Source organism: Homo sapiens, chromosome 15 (genome assembly GCF_000001405.40).
Source record: "Homo sapiens chromosome 15, GRCh38.p14 Primary Assembly".
Classification (NCBI taxonomy): domain Eukaryota; kingdom Metazoa; phylum Chordata; class Mammalia; order Primates; family Hominidae; genus Homo; species Homo sapiens.
In genome coordinates this window covers 57,980,741-57,997,527 of record NC_000015.10, presented here as the reverse complement: position 1 = coordinate 57,997,527, position 16,787 = coordinate 57,980,741, and the positions used below count along the sequence as shown (strand labels likewise).

Sequence of the window (16,787 nt, the reverse complement as noted above, 5' to 3'; positions counted from 1 at the left end):
GCTGCTAAAATAAACACGTGTACTCTTCTGTTCATCTTCCAATTTTTTTCCTCAGCCCCATTTGCACTCTTTCTTGACATTACTCTCTGATTCTGTGGTCTGTGACTATCCACCTGAACCCATCACCTTAACCAACTTAGAGAGTTCAGTTGCAGAAGATTTTCTTGTAAATGAAACTCTAGCTTATTGATCAGTGGTGTTGCTCCTCATGAAAAACCTTTTCAGAGATTTACAAATTGAAGAAGCATGGTAATTTGTAGTCTTGTAAAGAATGATATCCAGAAGATTCTTTAGTTATCTGCATACAAAGCTAAATAGTTAATTTGATGTTTAAAGTATTACTCAGACTTCATACTGTCATCCTATGGACAGTTGCAACATCTTCGCTATTTTTTCTCGTAATAGATATTTTAAATTAATTTCATACAGTTGCAGAATCCAGCCTACTTCTGAATTTCTTCCATTTAAAATATACATAAAACAAAGTCAAGAGATAAGTAGCAGATTGGGGAAAAATCTTTGCAATATTATGACAGAGGCCTAATTTCCTTAATATCCATAGAGCTCTTCAAATGGCTAAAAAGAATAACCCAATAGAAAAATAGCAAACAATATAAGCATGAAAAGATGTTCACTCTATCATTAAACATAAATCAAAACAAGTTGCAGTTTTCCAGCTATCAGATTAGCTGAAATGAAAATGTTGGAAAAACCTCAGTGTTAAAGAGTAGGAAAAATAGCGTGTTGTTGAAATTATGAATTGTTAAACTTTTCTGAAGGGTGATTTGGCAATATTTTTGAAAATCTGAAATGTACATACACTTAGATCAAGAAATTCCACAGATATGAAAAGATATGTTTGTAATGATAGTCTTTGCAGCATTATTTATAATAGCCTAAACTGAAAGTGACTTCTATGTCCCTTAGTAGGAGGGTTTACAGTAGTAACATTGTTTATTGAGCCCATGGAATAACCTGCAGCCACTAAAAAGACGTCCTAGCTTTACAGGAAAAAAAAAAAAAAGAGGGAAAAACAAAATATAAAAGACTGAATAATATCCCGTTTGTATAAAAAAAAAGAGGATAAAAGGATCCTATAAATACTTGTATGTGAATAAAAGTTCCTTGAAAAGAGGAAACAGATAATTATGGCAAGAGGGGGTAGAGATCAGAGATCCAGAGGATAGAGAGTGACACTGGGAGAGTAAGAGAGAGAGAGAGAGAGAGAGGCCAAGACTTTAATGTAATTATTTAAAAAATAAATAATTTTGAATATGTCAAAACAATTTTGTGTGATAAATGTGATTTAGGTGTGTTGAGAGACAGTGATAAACAATCTGATTCATATCGCTTCTCTTTTCCCGACCCACACAGTCCTCCTGTCCCCACCTTCATTTCCACCTATAATAGTTATGCTTTCATGAATATTAGCTGAGTGTTTTCACTTGCCTTAGGGGACTGCTTTTGAGAGAGAAAACAAGTATCAGTGAAGTGGCCTAAGGGCCGGCAGTGGAGGGAAAAATAAAGACTTTGCCCAGTATTTAAAATGAAAAGCTATCTGCTAAAAATGAGCCATTCTTTGGTAATTTTAATTAACCATTTAAAATAATTCAGATAAAAGCAATGACATTTTCCTAAAGATGAATTTGGTTTGGACTTCCTGTATAATTATTTCAGTTGCCTATTACTCCTGTAAGGAAAACAAGGTTATTAAGTTTTTCTGAAGCTCTTTTTCTTTTAGCCCCTAGGACATTCTCATTTCTATGTCTAGTTTGGGGGCAGACGCTTTGGATTATTGATGGAGTTCTTTTTAGAAATGGACTTTTACCTTCTTTAAATAGCCCTGGACATGCCTATGTCTCATCACTACCCAGGAAGTACATTTTGACACCTGGATTGAGTTATGAAATATATCTTTTACTCCTCACTTTTTCCAGTTGCCGAGCATTTTAAATTTGCCCAATAGCATTTTACTTAGTTTATTTTAATACTTCAGAAAGTTATTTAAAGGTTTGTTGACTCAGTTTTTAAATCAAACAACTGTTCTACATGTTATTTTAATATTTAACATAAAATTCAATTTTTACATATTTTTCAGCTGTCCCCTCTGCCACCCTGAGGACTTCTTGTATCATAAATTTGTCATTCATTTTGCCTTAGAGATCCTTTCCTCAATACTGCATTTGGGTGTCTGAGAGATATATCCAGAAATATGCTATGTCCAGTGTTAGGCTTCTACCAGCTTTCATGCACGGTTGAGTAGGATGTTTTTTCAAGTTTATTTCTGTTTGTTTTTTTTTTTTTTTTTTTGCAGCCACCAAAGTTCTCCCTTTGCATTTTTTTTCCTAATCTAAACTTTCTGGGAGTGACCATGCTTTTTTCTTTCAGATGGAGACTATTTTACCTTTACAAGACATGAACCCATTGGAGTGTGTGGACAGATCATCCCAGTGAGTGTATTTCCTCGCACCTCGTATTTATTTTCATTTGACCCAGTTCTCTTAAAGACACATAAAACATGGTCCTCAGCGATGTGTGTTTTCCATTACTGGAGGAAAAAAAACTGAGCTCATGTTGTTGACATATCTTTAACAGCCTCCCTGCAAATGCTTATTTGAACAGGTTAATAGGGTTTCAGCTCTGTTACCAGGAGTTGAATTCTCAAGTCATGGAATTCTCATGATTAAAATAAGCAAAGCACAGTGTATTAATAACCTGCCCTTGGTTATTATGTCCATTCTGCTTATGGAAAATTAATGCTTTGTTATAGTTGTTTATTTTTTAGAACTGTGACTCACCATCCTTCCAGGCATATTATTTTATATGATCTTTTAATCCCATTCTTTCCCACTGTTTCTTTTCTCAAGAATCTAGATAGAAGATGCTACAGAAGACACAGCACTACAGTTAACGTCACAGTCATAATTGAAACCATGCCGAGCTGTTATGTGTCTTGTAAAGAGAAATAGATGTAGTGCTTAGTGTTTGGATTGGAACATTAAACATTGTCCCTTTGTTCCTGTCTGTCTCTCATACACACCCTTGGTACAATACAAAACATGACCATAGCTTTTAACAGTACTAGCTAATAGTTCTGGCAGGGATTTCAAGGGGATGCTCAAAGTAAACTCTTACAGTATAGACAAGAAGTTTTCTTTTTTCAAAGTACAGTAGTATAACTCAAGATAATCTTTGGCATTGGGAACCAAAGATGTGGGGAAGATATAATATTTATTTGAATAATTGATGAATCCCAGGTTACTGTGAAATTTATTAGAGAATGCCAAGGGAAAATGAGAGGTTTGATTTAAGTTCTCTTGCTCTTAAAGGCCCTGGGGAAATCCTACTTGGACCAGCTCTGGGATGAGGTCTGTCACCTTCCTCGTAGGATTCAAACTTACTTTTCTTGCCCTTGCCCAGACTCTCAACGCTGCAGCTTCACTGACAGGACAAGAGCTGCTTGTCAGCCAGCTCTGGCTCAATTACTGCACTTTAAGATTTATACACTGTAGATGGAATTAAAACATTACGGTGGACTCCCAAGTTTATAAACAACTAAGGGGAAAAGAAATTGGGTGTTTGGTGAAGGCAAGACACTTGTATATTTTTGCAAGCTTGCCAGAGCCAGTGAGAAGCCTTGAAGGATGGCAGCTGAGATGCTTCAGGCAGAAACACATTGTGGTCAAGGGCTGAAGCCAGGGGATGAGGATTTCTGTTTTCTTTCTTAATGAAATTATCAATGACACCTGATAGTACTGAGGCTCATGCCTGAGCTTATGACAATACAAGCTTAATATCTTTTTAAAATCAGTTTAAACCATTTTAGACCCCAACCTCATCTACTCATGTAAATGTTACTGTAGTCTCCAATAGCTTCTTTTACAGTGGAAAAGAGACAAATGAAAATTTTTGCATACTCATCAGTATATGCAGTTTATTTTTTGTAATCATATATGTTTGTGACAATGCATGTATCTAAAGAAAAAGTACTACCTTGAAATACACATTGACTTAACTACAACTCAGTTAGAATTTTCTAGTTTTTCCATGTTGAAGAGCTTTCATACCAGTGTGAAAATTGTGATGTAAAAATCTCAGATGCAAGAAAAGTTTTCATACACGAGAACTTATTGGAACCAAAGCCTAATTAAAAAAAACATAAAAACAGTGACAAAACAAAACAAAGAAGTAACAAAACTCCCTTTTCACAGTGGGATTTCTTTTGGTGGGTAGTTGGAGTATAGTAATTGGTTGGTCAGAGAGAAAAGGAGAGATTTCCAAGGTCAGTGCTATTCTATTCTTAATGAAGTAATTGAAAATCCAAACATCTGTACTTTGTAGTGGACAAGATTTATGTCGAGGACTAGTTTGAGAAATATGAGAAGTCACAGCTTGAAAACAAAGTAGTGGAAGAATGTTTTTCCATCTATCAACTTTGAGTTTTTTCCTTTCAGTGGAACTTCCCCCTGCTGATGTTTGCCTGGAAAATAGCTCCAGCTTTGTGCTGTGGCAATACAGTAGTTATTAAGCCAGCAGAGCAAACACCACTCAGTGCACTCTACATGGGAGCCCTCATCAAGGAGGTAAGAGAAACGGACTTCGGGAGTGCTTCTGACTCCCCTTACAGCTGGAGCCTACTAGAGCATATCTCATTTAACATGATGCATCAGCTTTCATCAGCCACGTTTCCTCCTGTTCTGTTTTCTTAGGCTGGCTTTCCTCCCGGGGTCATCAATATTTTGCCAGGATATGGGCCAACGGCTGGGGCAGCAATAGCTTCTCACATTGGCATAGACAAGATTGCATTCACAGGGTCTACTGAGGTAGGTATCTGAAAAACCAGGGCTTGAGGAACAGTCTTGCAAATGAGTTGAGGGGTTACAAAAACAATAAAACTAGTACCCATAGGCTAGACACCAAAAGGGCAGTGAGTACCCAAGCCCACAAAGGATAACATTGGTGTCATAGAACACTGGTGGATGTGAAAGCAAAGGCACACAGGGACCATTTGACCCCACAGATATCTGAGCATTTTTGTGATACCATCTGTGTAAGAACTATCCCAGAAGGTGGGGTTCTAGACACTTTGTTGAATAGCGGCAGAAGCAAGTTAAGAAGCTGGAAATCTAAACTAGTCTCTGGTAAGGATAAGAATGGAGACACAAGCTTTCCCTTCTCATTGTTTGGACAGGTCCGGTAGGTGCAATTGGCAACTCACTATACCCCATGAACCTTAAGAGATGATATAGAGCAGGGCTCAGCACATTTTTTTTCTGTATAGGGCTAGATAGTAAATGTAAATTTTGGAGGCAACGTGGTCTCTGTTGCAACTACTCAGCCATGCCATAGTATCACCAAACAGTCATAGATAATATTGAGTGTGGCTATGTGCCAATTAAAGTTTATTTATAGACATGGAAATTGGAATTTTTACATAATTTGTATGGATTACAAATGCTAATCTTTTTATTGTTTCTAGACATTTAAACATGCAAAAACTGGTTTTAGCTTGTAGGCCATACCAAAACAGCAGGGTATATTTGACCCATGGGCCATAGTTTACAGATCCCTGTTACAGAGTCACAAGTCAGCTTAAGAAGATTTATAAATGTTACTCAAATATCTCTGATCCAGGTAACAGATGATAGGAAAGTCTGATTCATTGTTTCAAGTAGAACCTCACAGATGATATCATCATTGAACAAAGGATGTCCGCAGGTCTAGAACAGTGCTATCTAATAGAATGAGAGCAACATTTGTCATTTAAAATAAGCTAGTAGCCACATTAAAAAATACGTGAAATTAATGTTAATAACTTTAATCCAGTATTTTCAAAATATTGCAACATATAATCACTATAAGTTATTAATACAATATTTTGCATTCTTTTTCATATGCATTCTTTGAAATATGGTATGTGTTTTACATTGACAGCACATCTCTTCAGACTAGCCACATTTCACGTTCTCCATTGCCATGCGTGCTACCGTATTGGACAGCACAGATCTAGAAACATTTTATCAGTTGATACAGAGTTAATTATACTTGGTTAAACTGACTCACAGTAGTAAATTTAATAAAAGATTTATTAATAAACTTGAATATTAATTCAGTTAGATTACTGAGTTTTGTGTTTGTCGAGTTAACCTTGTTTGTTTCCAAATATTTTATTCTAGTTGTATTTGTTATTGTAATTTTGCAGTTTAATGAAATATTTAAACCAAAATGTGAGTATGAAAGGGAATTATTAATTATTCTGAAGTTTAATGCTTTGAAAATATTTGCTAAAGGCTAGATGCTAAGAAAAACTAAAGATGCAATCAATTTAAGACAACTGTAAAAGACTGGGGAAAAATATAAACCTAGATAGAATGGGCACCTGGAATTGCTTTGCAAATGTTCTTAAGTCCTTACTTCACTTTAAGGAAATTGAAACCAGAAATCATAAATAATAATTTAGGGGTGTGATTTAATCAGAAGAGACAGGTGGACCCATGATTAAGTAAAGTTCTTGGTTCTATATCAAAAGACTGGAGAAATGAAATATTTAAAGTATCTTTTTCTGCTTTAACCTTTTTCTGTTGACCAACCAATGGTCCTGATTGAGTCAGTCAAGAGGCTTCTATTGTGTAATTTTTTTTTTTTTTTTTTTGAGATGGAGTTTCACTCTTTTGCCCAGGCTGGATTGAAGTGGCACAATCTTGTCTCACAGCAACCTCCGCCCCCCAGGTTCAAGCGATTCTCCTGCCTCAGCCTCCCAAGTAGCTGGGATTATAGGCACCTACCACCATGCCCGGCTAATTTTCGTATTTTTAGTAGAGACGGGGGTTTTGCCATGTTGGCCAAGCTGGTCTCGAACTCCTGTCCTCAGGTAATTCACCTGCCTTGGCCTCCCAAAGTGCTAGGATTACAGGCATGAGCCACGGTGTCCGGCCTATTGTGTAACTTTTTAAATTAAAAATGACAGCATAATATGTCAAACAAGAGATAACACCTTGTCATGTTAGTACCTACATCTCCGGCATTTATTTTTAACAGCTGCATAGAATACTCTTGCATCAGTATATCATCATTTAATCCTGTATTAATGTACACTTGAGGGTGGTTTTTCCACTAATTTTTCCTATTAAACAGACTGCTGAAATAAAAACCTTTGGAGACCCAAGAAAAATTTTACTTGTAAATCTGTAACTGTATACACATATGTATATACGTATACACACACGTATATGTGTACATATTAGATGCTCAGTTGGATATGGTTCTAGAAGTGGAATTGCAAAATAAAAACATATTTACAACTTGCTTACCAAGAAGGCCTTAGAGTATTGGTTTCATTTATAAGAGGTTAGGTATGTTAATCTTTTGTTTGTTGTAGAATTTGAAAATATGTTTGTTCTTTGCTTTTTAATTTTTTTAAAACAGTTGTTTGCCATGTGCAGATTTTAAATTCTCATGTAGTCTTCTCCTTTAGTCTTTTTCTGACAGCTTCTGGATTTCCTGTCATTTTTTTTTTTTTTTTTTTTTTGAGACGGAGTCTCGCTCTGTCGCCCAGGCTGGACTGCGGACTGCAGTGACGCAATCTCGGCTCACTGCAAGCTCCGTCCTGTCATTTTTGAACAAACCCCTTTAAGATTATACAAACGGCCCTTAATATTTTCTTTCAGTACTTTTATGGTTTTGTTGTTTAAATCTTTAATCTGGTTGGAATTTATTTTCATGTATAATGAAAGGTGAGGGTTGTTTGTTTATAAATGAATGTTTAGTTACTTCAAAACAATTTATTAAACAGTCTACCCCTTTGCAACTCATCTGAATATAACATTACATGATGCCTGAATATAACATTACATGATGCATTTCCATATATACAGGTTGGAGCAAAAGTAATTTGATTAATGGCAAAAACTGCAATGACTTTTGCACCAAACTATACAGGAAATTTCTGTTTTAGAGCTCATAATTTTTTCTGTTCTTTCACTAGTACCAGACTGCCTTAATTACTAGGTTTTATAAGATGTGTTACTATAATATAGGCAACATACCCTCTTATTTGGTTTTTCAAAGCCCATTTATTCTTTTAGAAGAAATTTCAAACCGATTTTCTAAGTACCTTATGTTACTCTAAAAAACTTTGATTGGAATTTTGATTGGCATAACATTACATGTCCATATTAAAATGAGGAAAAATGCTATCTTTACCATATTGACTCCTCATCTAGGAATATGATATAATATGATAAAAATCCCTTCAATTATTTGTTGTAATGTTCATCACTGATGTCATCATATAGGTGTTAGGAATTTCTTGATAAATTAACTTCTAGCATTTAATGTTTTCTTCCAAGATATTTCAGTCTAAAAACGAGTAACATTTTTGAGATGGAGTCTTGCCCTGTCACCCAGGCTGGAGCGCAATGGCGTGATCTCGGCTCCCTGAAACCGCTGCCTCCCGGGTTCAAGTGATTCGTAGCTGGGACTACAGGCACGCACCACCATGCCTGGCTAATTTTTTTTATCTTAAGTAGAGATGGGGTTTCACCATGTTGGCTAGGCTGGTCTTGAACTCCTGACCTCATGATCCACCAGCCTCAGCCTCCCAAAATGCTGGGATTACAGGTGTGAGCCACTGCGCCCGGCACATAACAATATCAGGTAGTGGAAGTTAAATTGAATAAATGGAATCTCCTCTTTCAGGCCAGACAAGAAGCCACATAGTGAGTCCATAAAACCATAAGTGCTTATTGCAAGGCAGCTTGGGTTCAAATCTGTTTTGCCACTGAAGATCTTTTAACGTTTTAAATGACTTTACTGAAGTATAATTTACATACAATAAAATGCACCCATTTAAGTACCATGTATATACACCTGTGTAACCATCCGAATCAAGATGTAGATTGTTTCCATGCCTTAGAAAGATTTCTCATGCCTCTTTGCAGGTAACACCCTTGGCTTCTGGCAACCACTGATTCTTTTTAATTATTTTTGCCTATTCTAGAATTTCATATAAATGGAATAATATCTACTCTTCGTGTTTTCATTTTTGTTGTTCAACATTCAATGTATTAATGATATGGTCGGGTCTAAAATCCCCCATTTTGATTTGTTTTCTCTTTGTCCATATTTTCCCTCTTTGTCTGCCTTCTTTTGGTTGAGTTAGATAATTTTACCACTCTTTTTATTCTATTTTGCATTATTAGCTGTACCTCTTTTTAAAGTGTTTGCTTTAGTGTGTACAATATGCACCTCAATCACAGTCTACCATTAAATACTTTATGTTACTTCATATACAGTGTGGTAACCATACAGCAGCATTGTTCCAATCTCATCCTTTGTGTTATTGTTGCCCTATAATTTACTTAGACATAGGTTATATGCCCCACAATACATTGCTGCTGTTTTTGTTTTAAAATTTGTTTTTTGAATAAGAATACAAAATTATTGTCTGTTTACTCACATACTTGCTATTCCTGGCCTCCTTCCTTGTTTGTGTTGTAGGCCCATTTCCTTCTGGCATAATTTTCCTTATCTGTAACGATCTTTAACGTTTCTTGTAGCGTAGGTCTACTAGTGATGACTTCTCTCAGCTTTTGTTTGTCTAAAAAATGGCTTCATTTTGTCTTCACCTTTTTTTTTTTTTTTTTTTGAGGGGTCAGCCTCACTGTCGCTCAGGCTGGAGTGCAGTAGTTGCTCAGGCTCACTGCAAGCTCTGCCTCCCAGGTTTGCGCCATTCTCCTGCCTCAGCCTTCCGAGTAGCTGGGACTACAGGCACCCGCTACCATGCCTGGTTAATTTTTTTGTATTTATTTTTAGCAGAGACGGGGTTCCACCATGTTAGCCAGGATGGTCTGGATCTCGTGACCTCGTGATCCGCCCGCCTCGGCCTCCCAAAGTGCTGGGATTACAGGCATGAGCCACTGTACCCGGCCTGTCTTCACTTTTTAATAACTAACTTTTTTTTCTGGATATAAAATTCTAATGTGACAGTTTGTGTTTTATTTTACTTTCAAGACTTCAAAGATATCATTCTGGCATGTTTCTGACTTTACTGTTTCTGATGAGATACAGCAATCATTGTTATCTTTATTTTACGGTAAGTAATGTTTCTTTTCCCCCAGACTGCTTTTGAGAGAGTTTCTTTTTGTCAGTTTTCAGCAATTTGATTGTGATGTACTTTTGTGTATTTTGTTGGTTCGTTAAAATTTCTGTATATCTGTGAGTTTATAGTTTTCATCAAACTGGGAAACATTTTGACCATTATTTTTTCAAATCTTTTTTTTTTGCTTTCTACTTCCGCCTTCTGTTTACAGATATGTTAGGTCATTTGTCATTATCCCATGGGTCACTGGGACTCTTTTATTTCCAGCATTTTTTTCCTTTGTGCTTCCGGCTAGGTAACTTTCATTGTCATCTTTGACGTTCGTATATTCTTCTGTAATGCTTAATCTGCTTCAGAGATTTTGTTAAGTTCTAGAAATTCCATGATTTTTTAAATATCTTATATTTTCTTCCTCGCTACACCCCTTTATTCCTTTAAATTTGTGTAGACATCTATTTTACAATCCTTGTCTGTGGCCGGGCGTGGTGGCCCACACCTGGAATCCTAGTACTCTGGGAGGCTGAGGCAGGTGGATCACCTGAGGTCAGGAATCCGAGACCAACCCGGCCAACATAGTGAAACTCTATCTCTAGCCAGGCGTGGTGTTGCACACCTGTAGTCTCAGCTACTCAGGAGGTTGAGGCAGGAGAATTCCTTGAACCCAGGAGGCAGAGGTTGCAGTGAGCCAAGATCACACCACCGCACTCCAGCCTGGGCGACGGGAGTGAGACTCCATCTAATAATAATAATAATATAATAATGAAATCCTTGTCTGTTACTTTTAACTTCTCTGTCGTCTCTGAATTTGACTGGAGTTTTTCCTGTTTATGGGTCCTTTTTTTTTTTTTTTTTTTTTTGGCTTTTCTGTTAATTTTGAAAGGATACTGGACATTGTGACCATTATATTGCTGAACTTAGAGATTTTGTTGTTTTTCTTTAAAGAATGTCAAACTTTTTTTTTCCTAAAAGGTAGTTAAGTTACTTGAGGTTCAGCTTGTCTCTTTTGGAACTTACCTTTAAGCTTTGTTAAGACTAGTTTATTCTTATTAATAAGCTGAAATCCTTCTGAGGTTTCTGTTGAATGTCCCCAGTGTTCAACAAGATCTTTCTTATCTGTCTGGTCAGAATTCAGACCATCATATTCTGCTTTGGTCTCCTCATACCATACTGCAATCTAGAAAGTTTAGGCACAAAAGGATTTCCTTTTCTCTAGATTCATAGTCCCATACTGCCTGATATCCAATGTTTGAATAAAACAATTTCATATACTTTTCTAGTTGTTTATAATGGTAAAACAAGTCCAGTGTCGGTTACTCCATTACAATTAGAAGCAGAAGTCTCTCTGGCACCTTTTGATTAATTTTGATATTGTTTGATTTTCTTTAGGTTTCATGCAGATCACCTTTACAGTTAATGAGGTTACTATTTTATTTACTTCAGTTGGTCAAACCAAAGTATTAGGAATACAACCATAAGGACATACTGGATTTGGAAAAGCCCTTGATTTAATTAATTAATATTGAATATTTAAGCAGTACTTTACTCTCATAAGTAACTCCTTTTTCATCTTTGAGCTGATTTGCTTATCAGTTTAGTCTTGATTTTTATAAGTTTTACTTTCAAAAGATGGCAGTTTCTGGTCATATATGAAGATTTGTGGGGAGGACATTCTCTTTGGAGTCTATCCCTTAGGCCTTCTCAGTACCTCAAATAGTATCTTATGTATAGTAAACATACATAGTAAATATTTGTTGCTACATGAAGGAGGAAAGACTGAATTTGGTAAATAAAAACTTAATCTCAGAGCTAGAAGGTGAGGTATCAGTAGAACCCTCCCCTGCTTTAAAATGCCACCATAAGCATAGGGTTTACTATTTTTTACTTCATAGCTATATAATTATGGACCAGCCACTTGGTTTTGTACAAAATTGGTTTAATAATAGCATACATACCTGTTTCTCAGGGTCATGGGAATTAAATGCAATATGAGTTTGGGAAATTTTAAGCAGTAAGCAAATGTTAGTTTGTAATATGACATCAGCATCTCAAGAAGGGAGAGAGCTCTAGGGGTTGGGTGGTCTATCAAGGTTTCAAGAGAAAGAGGGATTTGAGGGTCTGTAGGATATAGATAAGTAGAGTGAATTGGGAAGAAAGGGCAGTGTTAGTCAACAACTCGAAGCAGGAGAACACAAAGTCTTAGTGGAATAACGGAATTGGGAAGGGACTGGGGAGAAACGTTGGGAGTCAGATGAACTGGGAAATAATATGCACATCAAGGCATTGGAAATAATTCTGGGTCAAAAAATTGTGGCCAACATGTAGAAGATACCACAGACAAAGATATCACAAGAAAACTATATACCAACATCTTATGAGTATAGATGGAAAAATCCTCGACAAAATAGTAGCAAACAAAATCCAGAAATATATAAAAATGATTATATACCATGACCAAGTGGGATTTATCCCAGGAATGCAAGATTGGTTTTATATATGTAAAAAAATCAATGTAATACTCCATAGTAATGGAATAAAGGACAAAAACCAGGTGATCATCACAGAAGAAACGTGACAAAATCTAATACCACACAGAAACATGTACAAAAATGTTCACAGCAGTATTATTCCTAATTGCCAAAAAGTGGAAACAACTCAAATGTCCATTAAATGATAAGCGGATTAACAAAAAGTGGTCTATCCATACAATGGAATACTGTTCACCCATAAAAAGGAGTGAGGTATTTATACATGCTGCAGCCTGAATGAGCCTTGAAAACACTATACCAAATGAAAGAATCCAGTTACAAAAGACTGTATCATGTGACTGTATGAAATATCCAGAATAGGCAAATCTATAAACAGAAAGTTGATTAGTGGTTGCAAAGGACTGGGAGAATGGAAAGTGACTGCTGATGGAATATGAAGTATCTTTTTGGGGTATTTATGTCCTCAGATAGAAGTAATGGTTGTGATGGATGCACAACTCTGTTAATATACTAAAATCCACTGAATTGTACACATCAAAAGAGTGGATTTTATGGTATATGAGTTATATCTCAAGCTGTGAAAAATCAATTAATTTTACAAAGTATTAAAGGCTTTACATTTTGGATATTAATAGCCAACATTGATTTAGCACTTACTTTGTGTCAAGTACCTGCTAAATGCTTTGAATACATTATTACAGCAACCCTACAGCATTGAGCAAAGTGTGGCTAAGAGGGGTTACATTACCTGCCCAGGGTTACATGCTAGTTAGTTGTAGGGCTGAGAGTCACACCCAGGGCCTATATTCCATATTACAGTGGTACACTGCCTCCCAGGCTAAGGGACTATACACCCTCCCATAGGGGAGAGCCATTAAAATTCGGAATGACATATTAATGGAGGTACTTAGGAAGGATAATTTCTCAGTGCAGCATGCTTAGGTCATAGACACATTGTAACTCCGTTTTTTCCTAAAATTCACTTCAAAATTGCATCTTTAGCCTCTTTAAATTCCATTTGTTACAATACAGGGTTTCCATTTGACACTGTCTGATATAGGACATGAAAATTTAAAACTTAAGTTGTTTCCAGTCAATTCCACAAACATTTATCAAGCACTTATAGATCTTGGAGAGGCAAAGGTGGTGTTTTATGTGATTCAGTCTAGCCCAAGAGATAATCTGTGAATATGTAACTATTAGAGTGTGGTGTGTTATGGGAGCATGGAGAGAAGAGAATTCTCTGCATCATTACCTAAAAATGTCATGATTTTCAAGATGATAAGATCAAGGACAAAACTAAAGTTCTGTCATTTAATATAATTTTCAAATGTATCTGTATCTAGGAGAAGTGTCATCAGTTGAAGATATTTACATTTGAATGAAAAGCTACTTTATTCAAAGATAAAAGTATTTTAAGAAAAAGATAATTCTCCATCTTAATTCCACAGTTGTTAATAGTCACAACTGGCAAGAATTTAAGGCTGTCTTCCTTTTCTCTTAACATTAATCTCTTTGGAGAAAATGGAACTGTAGTTTTATGGGAACCAAAATACAAAAAGAAATTCGAGGAAAGGAATGCTAGCTGTGAGGACCCTCGTGAGTCCTCAGGGACTCACAATGTGTTATTTGATATTGGCAGATAATCAACAAATAGTGGTATCATTTATTCTCAACATCATTTCCTATGCCAGATATTAAAGAATCAGCACTTTGTAAAAGCTCGATACATATTTTGCTGGAAGGTAGGATGGGATATTAGGTTTCACTGTTTCCTTTCAATAGCGAATGCAGTTTTGTTGTCATTCCTGCAGTTGTACTTTTAACAGTCATTTAAACACCAGAGCTGCAGATTTTTTTTGAATTCAGTGTCTATCCTTAGAAGTCTCTTTAATAGGATGTGAAAAACCTTATAGAGATGGGAAAATAAAAACAAACAACACATCCCTAAGAACCTAAATCATACCAGATGGGACATGTTGAGAAGGGTAGTGTGTGTCTGATTTCCTAGGGTCGTTAACTCTTGGTAGGTGAGCCAACACTGAACATGACATGCTCAGTGACTGCTAAACATGTAGCCTCAGTGTTCTAGTGAGAGTAGTTAATAGTCAGGGGGTACCAAAGTGTGTAAAAGCTGGAGAAAATACTAGGCTTTCCTCAACAGTGATTTCCCATGAATCATCTTTTTACACTTCAGATTATATTATTCTTAACCACATTGAGGGCAAGTAATGTCCATCTACAAAACTATGCAGATGGCTTGTCATAAGCAAAGATAATTCCCAAGCTGAACAGTAAATGATCAATCTGATTAAGCTAATTATCAACAAAGACCAACCCATAAAGTTTAACGTTACTTTAGGATTTTTACAGCATTAATGTAGTTCAGCCTGAGTTAATTTCTCTTCATCCTTTACTTAGAGTCTCTTAAAAGAAAACAAAGTACTCCTCAGTGCTTTCTTAAAATGAAAGTTTGACAGAATAGTATATCACAACTCTATAGTTTGCGTCTCTCTAAACCAACTAAAGGAAATCATCACTTTTTCAGTAAGTTTTGAACATAGTCTTCAAATCATACTAAAGGAATCAAGATTAAATATGTCAGTCATATCAGAAAACTAGACAACTTAAACATCTATTATACTTGAGTGGATTCATTCACATTACATGTTATTATTTAATCTTTCCAGGCCTCAGATATCCCAGCTGTAGATTAGAGATGATTGTACCTACCTCATGGATTGTGAGGATGAAAGATGATTTGAATGTGTTCCCCAGAAAGAGTGTGTTTGTTATTTAATCTACAATGCAATAGTGTTGAGAGATGGGCACTAGTGAGGGGTGTTCAGGTGGGTACTAATCTGTTAACCCACATTAATAGATTAATGCCATTATAAAAGGGCTTGAGATTGCACATTGAATCTCGTGCTGTCTTGTCGTCTCTTGCTCTTCCATCTTTCACCATGGGATGACACCACAGGAAGTCGTTCACCACATGTGGGTCTCTCAACCTTGGACTTCCCAGCCTCTCGAACTGTAAGAAATGAATTTCCTTTCTCTATTAGGTATCCAGTCTGGGACATTATAGCTAAACTGAATGGACTAAGAAAAGCTAGTATATCTAGAGTGTTTAGCACTGGATCTAATTCTTAGTAAAGTGTCAGTAAATATTAACTGTCATTGTTTTCTATTTATTTTTAAAATGAAGTTTATGGGACAATTAATGCTTGGGGAAGTGTGGTATAATAGATGAGGCACTGGATTTGATCCACAAATCATGGATCAAATTCCAGCTTTCCTGCTGTGTGACTTTTGGCGAATTGTTTAGTCTGTTATTTCATGTCTTCTTCCATTAGTAAGGCCTATGAATCACTCCTTACAGGCTCATTTGAAGATTGAAATAATGTATTTGAAAGTTCCAAGCATATTGCTTGGCATATAGTAAGAATTCAGTAACTATTAGGTGAATCTGAAACTTCCATTTGCAAATAATATATTTGTCAATAACTACATTCTGCTCTCCTCTGGCAGCTTTACTCTCCTTTCGTTTATTTTGTAGCTTTTGTAAATATTTTACAAATATTTTTGGCTACCAGTCAGTGTTTGTGTGTGTCTGTGTGTGTGTGTGTGTGTGTGTGTGTGTGTGTGTGTGTTTGCTCTTCTATTTCACTTCTTGGAAGACTGCCTTCGTGCTTGCTTGGATAAAATGATGATGAATCCTTTTTCTTTTTTGGTAAAATAGTGTACTAGATTTAGAATACAGTGCAGGAACCCAGGAGCTGGTTTTTTGAAAAGATAAACAAGATAGACCACTAGCCAGACTAATAAAGAGAAAAAGAGAAAAGAATCAAATAGACACAATAAGAAACGATAAAGGGGTTATCACCACGGATCCCACAGAAATACAAACTACCATCAGAGAATACTGTAAGACTAAACCAGGAAGAAGTTGAATCCCTGAACAGACCAACAATAGGCTCTGAAATTGAGGCAATAATTAATAGCCTACCCACCAAAAAGAAAAGCCCAGGACCAGACGGATTCACAGCTGAATTCTATCAGAGGTACAAAGAAGAGGTGGTACCATTCCTTCTGAAACAATTCCAAACAATAGAAAAAGAGGGACTCCTCCCTAACTCATTTTATGAGGCCAGCATCATCCTGATACCAAAACCTGGCAGAGACACAACAAAAACAGAAAA

General features: G+C 36.2%; 1 protein-coding gene across 4 annotated transcripts in view; it reads left to right on the top strand.

Moving 5' to 3' along the window:
* ALDH1A2 (aldehyde dehydrogenase 1 family member A2) overlaps positions 1 to 16,787 on the top strand; it is a 112,283-nt gene that overhangs the window by 68,184 nt on the left and 27,312 nt on the right. For 3 of the 4 annotated variants that reach the window (NM_003888.4, NM_001206897.2, NM_170697.3), the window contains 3 exons: positions 2,389 to 2,450; positions 4,455 to 4,583; positions 4,710 to 4,823. In NM_003888.4, the coding sequence (NP_003879.2) occupies positions 2,389 to 2,450; positions 4,455 to 4,583; positions 4,710 to 4,823 (305 nt within the window). The remainder of the gene's footprint in view (positions 1 to 2,388; positions 2,451 to 4,454; positions 4,584 to 4,709; positions 4,824 to 16,787) is intronic. The other variant, NM_170696.3, reaches the window with a different exon arrangement.